The 19,018-nt window shown below is 42.9% G+C and overlaps 1 protein-coding gene across 2 annotated transcripts in view, besides 1 other annotated feature; it reads left to right on the forward strand.

The window, feature by feature from the left end:
• Positions 1–12,928, forward strand: part of ZMPSTE24 (zinc metallopeptidase STE24) — a 35,945-nt gene extending 23,017 nt beyond the window's left edge. For both annotated transcript variants that reach the window (NM_005857.5, XM_047427582.1), the window contains 4 exons: positions 91–275; positions 4,673–4,777; positions 9,602–9,745; positions 11,193–12,928. In NM_005857.5, the coding sequence (NP_005848.2) occupies positions 91–275; positions 4,673–4,777; positions 9,602–9,745; positions 11,193–11,417 (659 nt within the window). In that variant the 3' untranslated portion in view covers positions 11,418–12,928. The remainder of the gene's footprint in view (positions 1–90; positions 276–4,672; positions 4,778–9,601; positions 9,746–11,192) is intronic.
• Positions 17,100–17,179: an enhancer, noted in NCBI's record as "active region_839". NCBI's record gives its function as "activates an Ori minimal core promoter by ATAC-STARR-seq in GM12878 lymphoblastoid cells {active_cell/tissue: GM12878}" and the evidence as "EXISTENCE:reporter gene assay evidence [ECO:0000049][PMID:35858748]".

Raw genomic sequence — 19,018 nt, forward strand, 5'->3', positions numbered from 1 at the left:
TCCTTTCCAGTAATTCAATTTCTAGGAGTCTCTCCAAAGGACCCCAAACTTTTTAATTATATTCCATGCTTTGAACTGTCTTTTCCTTAGGATCTAAACGCTCTTCCCACAGCAATGCTTATTTTTATGGCTTCTTCAAGAACAAGCGAATAGTTTTGTTTGACACTCTACTAGAAGAGTACTCTGTACTAAACAAAGACATCCAGGAGGATTCTGGCATGGAACCCCGCAATGAGGAAGAAGGGAACAGTGAAGAAATAAAAGCTAAAGTTAAAGTGAGTTATTTTTTCCTAAGAGATTCTACCTTAGTTTTTATACACAGTTCCTGTGACAACTCAAAATAACATCAATTTCTAGGCAGTGAGTGTTGAATTCAGGGAGACTATCAGATGAAAACCATGGCTCCTTTATAGTTCTGGTATTTAGGAGAGATCACCACTATTATTACATGCTAACTACCTTGCAAGCTTTTATAGAATGTGGATATTAAAATTGGAAGCTCTTATAAGAAAATTCATATGATTATAAGCTATCTTTAAAACAGGAACTTGTGTGTATATATATATATGTGTGTGTATATATATATATAATTTCTTATGTGTTTATGATCAAAGAATTCCCACAAGCAAGATAAAGAGAAGATAAACATCTAATTTTTAGCTTTATTAAGACAGTAATTGTAGGCTTTGGCAATGGAGAGACTTGGATTTGAATCCTGGTTCTGTCATTTAGTAGCTTTGTATCCTTGGATACGTTGTGTAATTTAGTCTGTTTTATTTGTTTAACACCCATTTATGAAATGTATACTCTGTGCTGAGAGACTTTACTTGGCACTAGGTACACAAAAATAAAAAGGAATACCTTCCTCTTAAGCTTACAGTCTAAAGGGGAAATAGTCATGCAATCACAGTACAATACGTGAATTGCTACTGTCAAGCTTTAGATTCTAGATATAGTAACTGGAGCACAAGAAAAGACATTTCTCAAATCTGACATGAGAGTCTGAGAAAGCTGCTTCTGAATCCTTTTCGTGGATAAGATTGACTGATATTGATTAGCAGAATTTAAAGTATCAAGACTAAATGGGGGAGAGGGGACAATGATAAGAAACAATACAAACTGTCAGAAATGATCATCAGTATTTGTATGTGTGATGGAATGTGCCATTGCCTTTGGTGTCATACAGAGATGATTTTAGATGCCTGTTCACTCACTGTCTGTGTAACTCTGTGCAAGTAAGTTAAGCTTTCATTTATTTATGTATTTATTTATTTTGAGATGAGGTCTTGTTATGTTTTCCAGGCTGGTCGAACTGCTGGCCTCAAGTTACCCGCCTGCCTTGGCCTCCCAAAGTGCTGGGATTATAGGCGTGTGCCACCGCACCCCGCCAAGCTTTCTAAATCTTTGATTTCTTAACTGAAAGATGAGGCCAGTAGGGTTTCTCAAGCCCCACGCTATTTTTTTGAGCCAGATAATTTTTTTGTTGTGGGAGGTATCTTGTGCATCACAGGATGTTTAGCAGCATCCCTGGTCTCTCCCCACTAGGGGCCATTTCCCCTACAACCTCTACAAATTGTAACAACAAAAATGTCTCAGAATATTGCCAGATGTCCCCTAAAGGTAGCGGTGGGGCCGAGTCTCCCCTGGTTGAGAAATACTAGGCTAAAGATACCTACATTTTAGGGTTTTGAAGATTAAATGAAATAATATGTGTGAAATACCTTGTACTCTCTACCCAAATGTAGAGAGTACCAGAAAATGATTAGCATCTGAGCATCTGTTTTGACACTAAAAACAGGTTCTAGTAAAGTACCTAGCCTGTTATAAATACGTAGATGAAATAAAATTCTGTGAAGGGATTAGAAGACATCTTAAAGTCATCTTATAAATAGGAAAACTGAAGTCCAGAAAGAATAACCCAGTGATAACACTAGAGAATCATGCAAGTTTAGAAAGTTAATCTGCTTATGGTCAGGCACTGTGGCCCATACCTGTAATCCCAGCACTTTGGAAGGCCAAGACAGGCAGATAACTTGAGGCCAGGAGTTCGAGACCAGCCTGGCCAACATGACGAAACCCCTGTCTCTACAAAAAAATACAAAAATTAGTTGGGCATGATAGCGCACGCCTGTAATCCCAGTACTCAGGAGGCTGAGGCACAAGAGTTGCTTGAACCTGGGAGGTGGAGGTTACAGTGAACTGAGATCCTGCCTCTGCACTCCAGCCTGGGTGACAAAGTGAGACCCTGTCTTAAAAAAAAAAAAAAATTGCTGATCCTTTTGTTACTTTTTTTGTTTTTGTTTTTGTTTGCTTTTCTGGAAGTTTGTTAGATCTTTCTCTGTTTCAGTGTTCTAAAATTTCACATACCTTGATGGGGATCTGTTTTCATCTACCATGTTATATGCATCACACTGTTTTCATCCACTGTAATATATGCATTAGGCCCTTTTATTCTGGAAATCGAGGTCCTATGGTTGTAAGAAATTTTCTGAAATTATTTTGTTGATTTTTCTCCTCTCCATTTTTTAAATTCTGTGTTTTCAGGGCTCCTCTTACTCGAGTGCTGGATTTGTTATACTGAACTCTCCTATCTTTTTAACCCTCTTTTCCATTTTAAATATATCTCTTTCTGCTTTCTAGAATTCCCTCATCATCTTCCAATCCTTTATTGTATTGAACTTTCTTTCTTTTTTTTTTTTTTTTTGAGATGTAGTCTTGCCCTCTCGCCCAGGCTGGAGTGCAGTGGCGCGATCTCAGCTCATTGCAACCTCCTCCCGGGTTCAAGCAATTCTCCTGCCTCAGCCTCCTGAGTAGCTGGGATTACAGGTGTGCACCAGCATGCCCAGCTAATTTTTTTTTTTTTTTTTTTTTTGGTATCTTTAGTAGAGACGGGGTTTCACCATGTTGGCCAGGCTGGTCTCAAACTCCTGACCTCGTGATCCACCTGCCTCAGCCTCCCAGAGTGCTGGCATTACAGGCTTGAGTCACCATGCCTGGCCTTCAGCTTGGATTTCTAATAATTTTTTTATCTGAATTTTCCAATTTACAGCATTTCGTTACTTTTTCTTAGGTGCAATGTCTTAATTTTCTAAACTTTCTCTTTATATAATTTATTTCATGTTGCTTTTTTTGTGGATCAGATCTTCTGTGTTAACAGCTTACCTCATATATCTGGTAAATCCTTGGTTATTTGCTCCTTAGTAAGAGAATGGGACTAGGCCCCACACAGCGGCTCATGCCTGTAATCCCAGCACTTTGGGAGGCCAAGGCAGGTGGATCACCTGCAGTCAGGAGTTCGAGACCAGCCTGACTCACATGGTGAAACCCTGTCTCTACTAAAAATACAAAAATTAGCCGGGTGTGGTGGCATGCGCCTGTAATCCCAGCTACTCAGGAGGCTGAAGCACAAGAATCACTTGAACCCAGGAGGTGGAGGTTGCCGTGAGCCGAGATCGTGCCGTTGCACTCCAGCTTGGGCAACAAGAGTGAAACTCCATCTAAAATAAATAATAATAACTACTGTTAACATTTGTATATACTTTCAGTCTACTTTTTATATTTGTATATTTTTATATACACATTCACATTGTTTCATAATTAGAATCATACTATATATTTTTAGTTTGTGTCTTACTTTCTTCACCTAATCATTTTCCAATGTCAAAACATCATCCCTTTTTTTTTTTTTTTTGAGATGGAGTCTCACTTTTTCACCTAGGTTGGAGTACAGTGGCGTGATCTTGGCTCACTACAGACTACGCCTCCCAGTTTCAAGCAGTTCTCATGCCTCAGCCTCCTGAGTAGCTGGGATTACAGGCATGCACCACCATGCCTGGCTAATTTATTATTATTATTATTATTATTATTATTTTGAGATGGAGTCTTGCTCTGTCTCCTAGGCTGGAGTGCAATGGCGTGATCTCAGCTCACTGGTGATCTCAGCTCACTGCAGCCTCTGATTCTCCTGCCTCAGCCTCCAGAGCAGCTGCAATTACAGGCGCATACCACGATACCCTGCTAATTTTTTGTATTTTGGTAGAGACAGGGTTTCACCATGTTGGTCAGTCTGGTCTCGGTCTCCTGACCTCGTGATCCACCCACCTTGACCTCTCAAAGTGCTGGGATTGCAGGCATGAGCCACCATGCCCAGCAATATTTTGTATTTTTAGTAGAGATGGGATTTTGCTATGTTGGCCAGGCTAGTCTGGAACTCCTGGCTTCAAGTTATCTGTCTGCCTCGGTTTCCCAAAGTGTTGAGATTACAGGCGTGAGCCACTGCAATTGGCCCTAATCTTTGAAAACAAAATTTCTAATGATTTTGTAATATAATGTGACTGTCATATAACTTTATCATGATTTATTTAACTATTGTCCCATTATAAAGATTTCTATTTCTTCCAGTTTTTTTTTTCCTAATCTAAGTTAGTCTAGACTGTGAGCTTTATGTAGTCTGGGAATGTCCATCTTGTTCGTCATTCTATCTATCTTCAGTGCTTAACCCACTGTCTCATGTGGAGCAGTGGTTCAGGGAATGTTTTGTTAAGACAATCAACAGTTTTGAACAAAACTGATTATTTCTTTAAGTTAAAATCTATGAAGGGCTATTACTGGGTTAAAAGATAAAACTTTTTAAAGGTTCTCAATAATTTATTTTTGATTTTTTTTTATTCAGAATAAGAAACAAGGATGTAAAAATGAGGAGGTACTCGCTGTACTAGGCCATGAACTGGGGCACTGGAAGTTGGGACATACAGTCAAAAATATCATTATTAGCCAGGTAAGTGTGGAGTGACAATTCTTTTTTTATGGCATGATAGTCAAATTAGAACTATGGCAGGCATGAGAGGTCATATAAGAGAGGCCAAGGCAGACACCACAGCCAGGCTACCTGGTTTCCTATCACAGCTCCCTGACTTACTACCTGTGTGACCTCAGGCAAGTTCCTTAACCTCTGCCTCTGTCCCCTCATTGAATGATAATACCTCATAGGACTGGTTAAGAATTAAGTGAGTTAATACATGTAAAGAGTTTAGACTAGCACCTGGAACATGGTGAGTACTATATAAATTATTGTTATCACCACCATCATCACCTCCAGAGTAAGAACTTGGAAAATCAAAAGGAACAAGCCTAGATAAGTTGGACATTAAAATGCTTTTTAAAATTAAATTAAAAAAATTTTTTTTGAGACAGAGTCTCGCTCTGTCACCCAGACTGGAGTGCAGTGATGTGATCTCGGCTCACTGCAACCTCTGCCTCTCAGGTTCAAGCGATTCTCCTATCTCAGCCTCCTGAGTAGCTTGGACTACAGGCACCCACCACCATCCCTGGCTAATTTTTGTATTTTTAGTAGACACAGGGTATCACCATGTTGGCCAGGCTGGTCTCGAACTCCTGACCTCAGGTAATGCACCCACCTCGGCCTCCCAAAGTGCTGGGATTATAGGCGTGAACCACTGTGCCCACCCTAAAATGCTTTTTTTTTTTTTTTTGAGATGGAGTTTCACTCTTGTTGCCCAAGCTGGAGTGCAATGGCGTGATCTCGGCTCACTGCAGCCTCTGCCTCCCGGGTTCAAGCAATTCCCCTGCCTCAGCCTCCTGAGTAGCTGGGATTACAGGCACACGCCACCACACTTGACTAATTTTTTTTTGTATTTTTAGTAGAGACGGGGTTTCTCAATGTTGGCCAGGCTGGTCTCGAACTCCTGACCTCAGTTGATCCGCCTGCCTCAGCCTCCCAAATTGCTGGGATTACAGGCATGAGCCACCACTCCCGGCCTCTAGAATGCTTTTTAAAAAACATTTTTTTCTTTTTCTTTTCTTTTTTTTTTTGAAATGGGGTCTCTCTCTGTCGTCCAGGCTAGAATGCAGTGGCGTGATCTCAACTCACTGCAACCTGCACCTCCCAGGCTCAAGCCATCCTCCAGCCTCTACCTCCCTAGTAGCTGAGACCACAGGTGCATGCCACCGCGCCCGGCTAATTTTTTTGTATTTTTGGTAGAGACCGGTTTTCACTATGTTGTCCAGGCTGGTCTTGAACTCCTAAGCTCAAGCGATCCACTCGCCTTGGCCTCCCAAAGTGCTGGGATTACAGGCATAAGCCACCGTGCCCGGTCTAAAACATTTTTTTCATTTAAAAGTTATTGCCGGCGTGGTGGCTCATGCTTGTAATCCCGGCACTTTGGGAAGTTGAGATGGTGGATCACTTGAGGTCAGGAGATCGAGACCAGCCTGGCCAACATGGTGAAGCCCTATCTCTACTAAAAATACAAAAATTAGCCAGGCGTGGTGGCACGCCTGTAATCCCAGCTACTTGGGAGGCTGAGGCAGGAGAATTGCTTGAACCCAGGAGGCAGAGGTTGCAGTGAGCTGAGATCGCCCCAGTGCACTCCAGCCTGGGCGACAGAGTGAGACTCTGTCTCAAAAAAAAAAAAAAAAGTTGCCATATATTCATTGGAAATTGTAGAAAATACAAAAAGAAAGCAATCCCAATAATGTTCCTCTTCTCGGTTCTAGAACCTCTAAACCAACAGATGTTTAGGCTTTGGGTGAAAAAGCACTATATCATGTTGACTAGTTCTGAGCATATGTGGCCTTAACTGAATCTTCAGTGGATTTTCAGACCTTTAAAAAGGCTGGCTGAGCAAGGCATGGTGGCTCATGCCTGTAATCCCAATACTTTGGAAGGTTGACGAGGGAAGATCATCTGAGGCCAGGAGTTTGAGACCAGCCTGGGCAACATAGCGAGACCCCCTTCTCTCCAAAAGGTTAAAAAATTAGCTGGGCTTGGTGGTATGCACCTGTAGTCCCAGCTACTTGGGAGGCTGGGATGGGAGGATGGCTTGAGTCCAGGAGATCAAGGCTGCAGTGAGCCATGATCACACCACTGCACTTCCAGCCTGGGTGACAGACCCTGTCTCTAAAAAAAATTAAAATAAAAAGGCCAGCTGGTTCTGGGTGATGGATTATATGGGAAGACTTGTGAACTCCTGTGGGCACTTTCCTATATCTTTAGGTATAGAAATGCATTCCTTGGCCTGAAGCTATGTTGTGTGGATACATGGCACTGAGTAAGATTAAATAAGTCCAGGTCCAAGTTCAATTGAGTTTTCAGTCTAATAAGGAAAATCACTGCCCCTTCCATGAGGGAAAGGGTTCCAATGGAATCAGCCTACCACAAGGTGGCTAAATGGTCCCTGAGATGTGGTACCTTATCAAGGCTGGGATTGATTGCTTCTCTGGACAGATTGGGCATATGGCATGCGCCAGTGAGGAGGGTATCTGTGTTGACTAATACATTAACTCCATCTTTGTCGCTGTGGCCACTCTATTCATAAGTCCCTTGACCAAGTCATGGAGCGGCTACAGAGAAAGGCTAGCTGACCTTCACAGAGCAGGTGTCTTCCCCACTTGACCAAGAGCCTCCTTGACCATGGGACTCTTTGGGTGAACATTAACATTAGGCCAACTGTAGTCAAACTCTATAGTCCAAACAGTAATTTTGGAAGTTTTTCACATACCTCTTTTCCAAATCTCGTTAGCCATCCTCTACTTTTTTCCAAGGCCCTAATAATTCAGCCGAACCATTTTTTTCCCACTGCCAATAAATTAGGATATATATCCTTGCCTCAGGCTCTCTCTCCTCCCAGGCTGAGTAGACAGTGAGATATACACCTTAAAGTTCACCTCACCGAGAGTAATTCCCTTCACCACTGCCTTCCAAGACCATCCCTGAGTGGCTCTGTAATACCACAGCAGTCCACTTTCATCTGGTGCCAGCATATTGTATTAAGTTATTGTAAAATAGGCTCTGATTTTGTTCCTGTTCAACTAATTGATTATAGGGAACAGCATATGAGTAAGGGTTGGTTGAGGGTTGTTGGTGGTAGGAGTTGGTGTACTAGAGTATGAGCCATCTGCTTATTTAACTTACTGGTGCCTTCATAACTTGCTTCATTTCCACTCTTATATCTACCACTTGTCCTTGATGATGAAGTGCTTCTGCGCATAGCAGTTTCCTGGCTAGGCAGATTAACAGATTAACATAGCACCCAGTTCAGAAGGGATAGTTCAGTTTGCAGGATCACAGTATCCCATGGCCAGGAATTCAGTCTGTAGTAGGGCCCAGTAGCAAACCAAAAGTTATTTTTCAAAAGGACAATGGTTACTTGACAAAAGTGGATGCATAGATTATAAGTGTAGGAGACTTCACTGAGTTTTCTGTTGGAGCTTGTCATATTGGATCCACTGAGTTATAAGGATGAGTGTCGAAGCTGCTTGTCCTGGGGCAGCTGGTGAGCCTTCTTATGCTCTAAGCCCCATTCTAAGCTGACAGCTTCTTGGGTCATCTCGTTTGGGTCAAATGGTTTGAAGCAACACACTTAAATAAGGTACATGTGGCCTCCAAGATCCTAATTTGCACAGAAAAAGAATGTTGTGTGTTCTCCAACCTTACTCCAAGAGGTTGTATTTTGGTATAGATTTTTTATTTTTTTCTCCTCTCATTTATTGATCAAGATGGATCTACTTTTCCCCCTGACCTTTCTAACTATCTGGTACAGCTCCAGTGGGCCTAGAGAGGATTCAAGGGAAGCCTGTTTCTTTGGAGCCTCCGCTTCAAAGTCAGGTGGGAGGCGTTGTATCTGATTACAGTGTTATAAAACAAGGCCAGAATCCATTCTAGCCCTTCACCCTTTTACAGAGAGAAAATATCCCATTGCTATTGACCACTTCAAACCCTCAATGATAGGAGCCTCAACTTAAGCTTGCCCTTATAGAAAATGATACAGTTTATACATTTGGGAACATTTTATTTTACTTTTGAAATAAAAGTGAAACTAAAAACTACTGGCGGGGCAGTATGGTTCATGCCTGTAATCCCAGCACTTTGGGAGGCCCAGGTGGGTGGATCATCTGAGGTCAGGAGATTGAGACCATCCTGGCTAACACAGTGAAACCCCGTCTCTTCTAAAAATACAAAAAATTAGCCGGGCATGGTGGGGGGCGCCTGTAGTCCCAGCTACTCGGGAGGCTGAGGCAGGGGAATGGCGTGAACATGGGAGGCGGAGCTTGCAGTGAGCCGAGATCGTGCCACTGAGCTCCACCCTGGGCGACAGAGTGAGATCTGTCTCAAAAAAAGCTACTTAAATAATTTGTTCTGTGATCACACTAATACCTTTCTTAAAATCACACTATGAATTTTTTTTTTTTTTTTTTTTTTTTTTTTGAGATGGAGTCTCACTCTGTTGCCCAGGCTGGAGTGCAGTGGCGCCATTTCAGCTCACTGCAAGCTCCGCCTCCCGGGTTCACGCCATTCTCCTGCCTCAGCCTCCCGAGTAGCTGGGACTACAGGCATCCGCCACCACGTCCGGCTAATTTTTTCTGCATTTTTAGTAGAGACGGGGTTTCACCATGTTAGCCAGGATGGTCTCAATCTCCTGACCTCGTGATCCACCCGCCTTGGCCTCCCAAAGTGCTGGGATTACAGGCGTGAGCCACCGCGCCCGGCCACACTGTGATTTCTTATACTTTATGGATGCTACTGATCCCATAGTGAAATCAGCTTGGTAATAACTTAGAAATTTCATGTCCTTCTTTCTAGATGAATTCTTTCCTGTGTTTTTTTTTATTTGCTGTATTAATTGGTCGAAAGGAGCTTTTTGCTGCATTTGGTTTTTATGATAGCCAACCCACTCTTATTGGACTATTGATCATCTTCCAGTTTATTTTTTCACCTTACAATGAGGTAATGTATGATCTTTAAAATTATCACACATATGCTCTTGCCTGCTTCAAATCTAGAGCTTTCAGGATAGTGAAAAAGGAAATAGAACAGTACAGTTTTAACAAATAGATGAAACAAAGTCTTTTAGTCCCCTGATTCACTGGTCAGTATGACAAAGTAGCAGAAAAATTCAAGCCCAAATAAATAAACGTTTGCATACTCTTAGGAAAGTATAAGTAGAAAACTAGACTTCAGTGGTGAACACCTAAAAGGACTCGGTAGATGGAGATTAACTATTGGAATGTTGTGTCCTAGGCCACATATTCACCAGTGCTTGGGTAAAAATCTTATGTGTATGAGGGGACAAAGCAAACACTAATTGGTACAGCTCAGTAAGGGAGGCTTAGTGACTGTTCCTCTGCTCCATGACCACCTGCCTCCATATAGCCTGAGGGATCCACCCAAACCCACAAAATCAAAATCGGGTATTTTGTGGTAAATGAAACTTAAGAACATTGCTCTGTGTTAGCTCATTAGGGGTATTCCGTGTGAGTGATAATACATAGGTTAATGTGAGACTATATAACAAACCTGACAATGGCATCATTTCATGATGTTTGGTAAGGCTTCCAAATTAAGCTAAGAAATAATATTGAAGATCTTGAGGTATCTCCATTCAGAAGAATTCTTTCTTGGGATAGATTGTAGAGTTAAGATGAGCTAAATGAATTATATTTTTCTATTATGTATGGTGGGGACACCAGGAAAGAAAAATGGAGGGGCATAGATCATATTCATATAGCATTGTCCACATAAACAAAAATAAATTTGGCAGAGAACTGAGATGTATTATCTTAAAACTCTTTTTTTTTTTTTTTTTTTAAGATGGAGTCTCGCTCTGTCTCCCAGGCTGGAGTGCAGGGGTGTCATCTTGGCTCACTGCAACCTCCGCCTCCCGGGTTCAAGCAATTCTCCTGCCTCAGCCTCCTGAATAGCTGGGACTACAGGCACCCATCACCACGCCCAGCTAATTTTTGTATTTTTACTAGAGACAGGGTTTCACCATGTTGGCCAGGTTGGTCTCGAACTCCTGACCTCAGGTGATCCACCTGCCTCAGCTTCCCAAAAGTGCTGGGATTACAGGTGTGAGGCACCACACCCGGCCTGAGCATGACTTTTGAGTCTCATGTCAGCACTCAAAAGTTTCAGATTTTGGAACATTTCAGATTTCAAGTTTTTGGTTAGGGATGTTTAACTTTTATATGTGTTTCTGGCCTGTTTGCTTGGGGGAGAATAAGGCTCAATTTATAATTTCCTCACCCTAGGTCCCCTAAATATTAGTGATCTTTCTTTTGTCCTGCCATTCCTCTTATCCCAAGCCAAACTTCTCTACAGTCTCAGCTCATGGAACCTTTAGTAACAACAAAGAGGTGGGCAGTGGCTAAAACCCTTTCATTTTCTTTTTCAGGTTCTTTCTTTTTGCCTAACAGTCCTAAGCCGCAGATTTGAGTTTCAAGCTGATGCATTTGCCAAGAAACTTGGGAAGGCTAAAGACTTATATTCTGCTTTAATCAAACTTAACAAAGATAACTTGGGATTCCCTGTTTCTGACTGGTTGTTCTCAATGTGGCATTATTCTCATCCTCCACTGCTAGAGAGACTTCAAGCTTTGAAAACTATGAAGCAACACTGAGATGTCCAGGATCTGTGACTGAAGACATTTCTGATTATTTCTGTCCTGGCAGCATGTTCCAGCTCTTGATGTTTTTAAACTTTTTTTTAGAAGAAAAATTAAGTACAGAAAAGCCCAGATTTAAATACATTTAATATGTCATTTTAAAAATGATTTTAATAATTCATTTCTTAAAACACTGAATGAATTTTGAAGCTTAATGTTTTTAAAGGCATAGTTTTATCTTTGACATCTAATTTACCATCAAGTTGTAAAATTATTTGGAAAAATACAGAACTCGTTTTATTTGTATACTTATATGGAATCTGCATGTGAGGTGTTTGAGGGCATATGTTTGAAAGAGGGAGCATCACCACAGGAATCCTTTCTGTGAGGTGGAAACAGTGGTCCTGAATCATTGTGCTCACACCTAACTTGAAATCTGGTCTTACTTTCATGCTGTTATGATTTCACCTGGTGAATCAGTGTTTTAAATAAGAAAGGTAATAGTTGGTAAGGCCAATGTTATTTAAATGAAAGTAGTTAGAAAAATGCTCTCCTATTCTACCAAATTTTTAATTTCTTTCTTCCCTTTCTTGCTACACAGTGATCAAGAGTTTCTCATAGTGCTTTGAAGTTAGAAATTATGTATAGGATATTTTAAATCATTGAGTTTTGTGGGGTTTTTTTGTTTGTTTGTTTCTTTTGTTTTTTGGAAAATCCGTGTCTTTATCTTTTTTTCCCACGTGGTAGATATGATCCCATTGGAGGTAAATTGTAGCTTCTTCTCATTCATGCAGTAAATAATACATCCTTTCACTCAGCAGAGATGGCCATATTAAACACGTTTTGCTATGTTAAAAGTGGCAGAACAGGAAAGACGAATTAAAAATAACATTTTTTAAGCGACATAAGGATGAAATACTGATGAATCTCTGTGACATTACAGGGAAAAAAATATAGTTTTCTATCTCTTTCAAGGGCAGAAGAGTTTTCATTTTTATTTTTGTAATTTTATCTGTAAGTCATAAATATTACTTAATCAGGCCTGATTCTACTTTTGAAAATTACAGTTCTTGAAATGCAGATAATGTTTACTTTGAAAACAAATGTCATGAATGATTTCCAGTTTTTAAAGCTATATGTTTCACTGCTTCATATCTCTGTCCACTTTCTGAATGAGAACTTATTTTGTGCCTAGAGCTCTCACTCACTGATAATGCTTATTACCTTCTGGGCATTTATTCCAAAGTGGGATCAACTGTACGCCTTTGGTATCTGACCATAAAGTCTTTTGCTCCGCTGACATTTGGGTGATGTCTTCACATGGAAATATAATAAAAATAAAAATCTAGTTTAATACTGCATTATTTATTTTCCTAAGGCTAAAGAGGAGCAGTCCTATGCTTTTATTCAGCATCCTTTATCTGTGACTTCATGCTCTGATAACTGCCTTTCCTTCCTTCTGTGCCTTTGAATACAAATTTCAGTTCTGCAAAAGTGAAACATTAAACATTGCCAACGCAAATGTATGTACTTTGTCTTTAGTTTGATATTTGTGTATCATTTTTTTAATTTGTGTATCATTTGTTACCTGAACATATGTTTATTACCTGAGAGGAACTGGGTGCTAGCAATGAAGAGTGGAATGAAGAAATAGCCCTAATGATGAGTGGTGTCAGTGCCACCACTGTGCTTTACACAGAGTCTCTTCAGTGTCTTGCTCCTGCTTTGCTCCAGAGTATCACCAGTTCTTGCAGATATTTCCTTGGAAGCTTCATTTGGAATCATTCCTTCTCTATTTTTATAACCTCAAATTGTTGGGCCTGCCTGGTCTGCTCCAGCTGCCTCTTTGGTTTTCCTTACATATGGTGGCAGTAATTAGCTTTTAAATATGTGACTGACTTAGTCACCCACACTTTATGGATGGCAGAGGCATAGGGATGGCCAAAAGGATACTGGTAGGTTCCTAAGAAATTGACCAATCAAGGGAAGAGTAGATAGGCCCACCAACGAAGGAATAGATGGCACTCTGCACCCTAAGAAAGACCTGGTGGATGTGCAGCAGGGGCAAAATTGAGTAGGTCAAAGCCTTGGGTAAAATGGCACAACTCCAGCAGAGTTAAGCTCTGAATCTAAGGTTGAATCTCTGTTGTGTGTATATACTGGCTTTATCTGAGTTGGCCCTTTGCTGAGGTCTGAGAACTGCTTGTAAATTCTGCCTCTGTTTAGGATAGGAGAATTCCCAGGATCAGTTCAGTGGTTTTAGTACCAAATGATGGTCCCCGCTTGCCCTTATATTTTATATGCTCACTGTTACCCCTGATCCTACATGTGATATTCCCCTCCCTGTGGAAACCTTCTACTTGCTTTTTTTGTTTTTGTTTTTTTTGAGAAGAAGTTTCTCTCTTGTTGTCCAGGCTGGAGTGCAATGCCCCGATCTCAGCTCACCGCAACCTCCGCCTCCTGGGTTCAAGCGATTCTCCTGCCTCAGCCTCCCAAGTAGCTAGGATTACAGGCTTGCGCCACCACGCCTGGCTAATTTTTTGTATTTTTAGTAGAGATGGGGTTTCACCATGTTGCCCAGGCTGGACTGCAATGGTGCGATCTCGGCTCACTGCAACCTCCACCACCCAGGTTCAAGAGATTCTCCTGCTTCAGCCTCTTGAGTAGCTGGGATTACAGGCATGTGAGCCACCACATCCGGCTAATTTTTGTATTTTTTTCTTTTCTTTCTTTTTTTTTAAGACTCTCTGTCTCTCTGTCACCCAGGATTGAGTGTAGTGGCATGATCTTGGCTCACTGCCACCTCTGCCTCCCAGGTTCAAGTGATTCTCCTGCTTCAGCCTCCCGAGTAACTGAGATTACAGGCATGGGCCAATACACCTGGCTAATTTTTGTATTTTTAATAGAGACGGGGTTTCTCCATGTTGGCCAGGCTGGTCTCAAACTCCTGACCTCAGGGGATCCGCCCACCTTGCCCTCCCAAAGTGCTGGGATTATGGGGTGAGCCACCGTGCCCAGCAAATTTTTGTATTTTTTAGTAGAGATGGGGTTACTCCATGTTAGCCAGGCTGGCCTCAAGCTCCTGACCTTGTGATCTGCCTGCCCTGGCCTCCCAAAATGCTGAGATTACAGGTGTGAGTCACCACTCCTGGCCATGTTCTTATATACTTTCTATATCTTTGATGGTTTTGAGTATTCTGCCATCATTAGCAGAAAGCTAACTACCACTTAAGGGCCTTACGTTCTATCCTAAGGGCAAAACAAAGAAAATTACAGATAATTTGTAATCCAAAACTTTTATCCAGAAACATTTTAAGACCACAGTGATGTGAGCAAGTAACTTGAACGATGTGTGCCAGGCTGAGTTCAGTTTTGTGGGAAGGCAAATATAATCCATTGTGGAATGGGATAGTCCCATTTAGACAATATGGATAAGGAAATCTTGGGCTCTTCTCTGTTATCCAGGATGATTTCCAGGGAGGAGGATTTCCTAAACAGTTTGACCAGAAACAGCTAGGAAGATACCTCTGTGTGTTCTAAAAACCTGTGAAGCCGGGACCGCCAATACTCAGGAAGCAGATTTGCCTTACTCTGCCCTTGGCTGAGTCCGAGCTCCCCTCTGGCTCTCTGGATGATGGTCAATAACAGGTAAAGTATTAGGATTAAGCCTGGGGCTCTATAATCCAACATGCCACTTACTAGTAAGACTTTGGGTAAGAAACTTGACCGAGACTGTATTTCTCCATCTGTCCCCACTCTACCAAGCGCTGCTCTAGGTGATGGGGAATACATGGTAAACAAAAGGTACAAAAATCCGCCACGTCTTGGAGTTTACATTCTAGTATCAGGGAGAAAGACAACTAAAATGTATTTATATGGTGATACATGTTTTGGAAAAAAAGGCGGGGGCTGAGGTGTTTGGGTGGGGGTAGGAGCTGCAATTTTATTTTATTATCTTTTATTTTTTTGAGATAGAGTTGCACTCTGTCGCCCAGGCTGGAGTGCAGTGGCACGATCTTGGCTTACTGCAACCTCTGCCTCCCGGGTTCAAGCGATTCTCCTGCCTCAGCCTCCCAAGTAGCTGGGATTACAGGCATCCACCACCACACCTGGCTAGTTTTTGTGTTTTTAGTAGAGATGGGGTTTCATCATGTTGGCCAGACTGGTCTCGAACTCCTGACCTCAAGTGATCCACCCGCCTTGGCCTCCCAAAGTTCTGGGATTACAGGCATGAGCCGTGCCTGGCCAGCAATTTTAAATAGGGTGGTCACAAAAAGGCATCACTGAAGGTCACATTTGAACCAAGACCTGAAGGAAATGAAGAGTGAGGTGTTCTAGGGAGGTGTCTGAGGGAAGAGCATCCCAGACGCTAGATTTTGCAGGGCCTTGTAGGCCACTGTAAGAATTCAGGCTTTTCCTTGAGTGTGGTAGGAAGCCATTGTAGAGTTTTAGGCTAAGGAGTGACATGATCTGAAGTTTTAATAGGACCACTCTGGCTTCTATGTTGAGGAGCAAAGGTTGAAGCAGGGGACTAGTTGGGAGAGGCTTGCAATCCTTCTTGCAAGAAATAATGGTGCTAGACTGGAGTGGTAGTCAGGAGGTGGTAAGTGGCTGGATTCTGGATATATTTTTAAGACTGAGCCAACAGGATGTGCTGATGGATCAGATGTGGGGTCTAAGAGATAAAGTGGGAGTGGAGGATGACTCCAGTGTATTTGGCTTAAATAACTGAAAGGATGGAGTTGCCCTTGGGTGAGATGGGAAAGATCGCAGGAGGGGGGATTCTGGAGGGGAAGATCAGGAATTGTTTCGGACATGTTAAATTTGAGATGCCCATCAGACATCGAAGGGGAGATGTTGAGTAGGCAGTTGGATCGACGGATCAAGTTAAGCAGCGAGATCTGGACTGGGGATATATAGATAAAGTTTAAAGCCATGAAACTGAATGAGATATGAGAGGAGCCAGAGAAAAAGATGTGGTCCAAGGAACAAGTGACTTTCAGATACTGGAGACATGAGAAATCAGCGCAGGAATCTGAGAACAGTGTGGTGAGCTAAAAGCCAAAGTGAGACCAACCCTCCCCATAAAAGGGAGCAAAAATTTGGGATAGTATCTACAGGTGGGATTGAGACAGAGATTTTATTTTTTAACATGGCAGATGGGGTAATACCTACTTTACAGGGCTGTGGTAGGGATAGTATGAGATAATGTTTGCAGACACTTAGCACAGTATCTAATAATATAAGAGCTCAACAATTGATACTTGTTGGTGATATTAATAATTCACCCTAATTGCTATGATGTAAATAAGCACAAAATTAAAATGTTTCTGGGCCGGGTGCAGTGGCTTAAGCCTGTAATCCCAGCACTTTGGGAGGCTGAGGCGGGTGGATCATGAGGTCAGGAGATCGAGACCATCCTGGCTAACACAGTGAAACCCCATCTCTACTAAAAATACAAAAAAATTAGCCGGGCATGGTGGCGGGTGCCTGTAGTCCCAGCTACTCGGGAGGCTGAGGCAGGAGAATCACTTGAACCTGGGAGGTGGAGCTTGCAGCGAGCTGAGATCACGCCACTGCACTCCAACCTGGGTGACAGAGTGAGACTCTGTCTCAAAAAAAAAAAAAAAAAAAAAAAATGTTTCTGACCCAGCTGGCCTTCAGGGTGAGGAGAGGATTGCCAGAGAGATGAAGTTTGAAAGAAGAGTCAGCAGCAGCAGGTGTGGGACTCTCCCCACAGGCTGCATTCTAGAGGTGCAGTGTGGTGTTGAACCTTTGCAAAGGGGCTGGGCTGTCTTGGTGCAATGCCCTTTCTGTTAAGCTTCTAAATCCCCCTTTTCCTAATTGTAAACAGGGGAATTGAGTTCCTACTTTTTTTTTTTTTTTTTTTTTTTGCATCAGACTGTTGCCTCCCAAGATTCAGCTGTCAAAGGGCAGGTCCCTGTTCTCAGTAGGTGAGGGAATAAAACTCGGACACTGGGCCATCTCAGAACACATCTCAGCCACACACAAGTGGAGACCAGATCCCTTCCTTCCTGGTTTGATGATTGGTGGGATCTTCCTCTGAGCATCCTGAACATATTCATTTAATAAATATTTATTGAGCACCTGCTGTGTGCCAGGCACTGTTTGATGTGCTGCAGAATAGAACAGCAAATAAGAGCAAAAGTTTCCACCCTCGTGGAGCTTATATTCTAGTGCTTTATGTTGAATAGTGCTAAGTGTGGAAGACAAATAATAAAGCAGAATGGTATTCTGGAATATCAGGGTAAGGATGAGGTCAGTTTTTGAATAAAGACCTGAAGCAAGGTCACTGGCAGTGATATTTTGGGGAAGAACATTCCAAACAGGGCATGGCTTGTGTGTTGTACACGTGTTAGAGGGACAGCATAGGCTGGTATGGCTGCAGTGGAATGTACCAGAGTCTAAGCACAGAGTTGAGTTTAGAAAGGCATATAGGAGATTCGTAGATCACAGCAAATGGTCTGAGTGAAATTTACCCACCAGGGAGTCTTACGTAGGCTACCAACCACTGGTCCTTAGGGATTAGCCCCCTTTCAGCCCCTTCAAATTGCTGTCAGAAGGAATGAGGTGTAACTGCATGAGATTTGTGAATCATCAGCCTCTCTGTGGTGCTGAAACCCTCCAGTGGACCATCTCTGGGAATGCTGCAGAGAGGGATAAGGAAAGGGCCCCAGGTAAGGTGCATCAAGAGACTTCAAGGAGTAGAGTGGCTCTCTAAACCTAAGGTTCCAGGCACTAGGAGCAAGTGAGGGATCCAGCCTAGGGAAGGGAGAACCCTCCTCCCCACCAGGTATGTAATACCTGAGAGCCTGCCCAAGGCTTGGCTTCAGCTGCCTCCTGCAGCTCACATCCTCTCCCTTCCTCCTCTGTGCCCTGCACTCCAGGGGGCCCTTGGCGGCTACAGTGGCAGCATGGCCTTCTCTGGGGACTGAGATGCTGTAACTTGGGAATTGCCCAAGCACTGAGGGTGAAGCCACATCAGTGGCCCTCAGTCTAACCCCACTGTGTCCCTCCTGTGTCCCTGGATTGGGGTAGGGGGGGCTGAGATGTCACTAGTGATAAATGTGTGTTGAGGGGAGGAGGGAGGAGGGAGGATGGGCTAGTGGAGGGCAGTGGGGAGGAGGAGGAGGGCAAGGATGCGTCAGCATAGAGGGGACTTGGAGCCAAGTTTGTGGTAAGGTGGGAGGGTCTAGGCTTCCGCACATGCTTGGACTTCAGGCTGGAGTCCCCGAGCCTCAGCCCCTTCCCCCCCTTCCCCTCCTCTTCCTCCTTGAAGGCCTACAGAGCTATGGGCTGGGAACCCCCAGGTGGTACAGATCAGATCTGAGCTAGTCTCTCCCGGACTTTTTTCATCCAAGTCCATATCTGTTTTTCTCATGAACCTGGAAACCCCTGGAAGGCAAGAACAAGGTCTTCCAATCTTTCACTACCAGCTCCTACCCCAGGGCCAGCACACCGTGGGTGCTGAAACTCACAGAGGACCTTCCAAGTGGCAGACCCCGGCGAGACACTGGGTGTGCTATACTGGCATGAACAAGATACAGGTGAGTCCTTGCCACAGTTGTACAAAGGCTCAAAAGGGATTCACCCAA

The sequence above is a fragment of the Homo sapiens genome, chromosome 1 (assembly GCF_000001405.40).
Source record: "Homo sapiens chromosome 1, GRCh38.p14 Primary Assembly".
Lineage (NCBI taxonomy): Eukaryota > Metazoa > Chordata > Mammalia > Primates > Hominidae > Homo > Homo sapiens.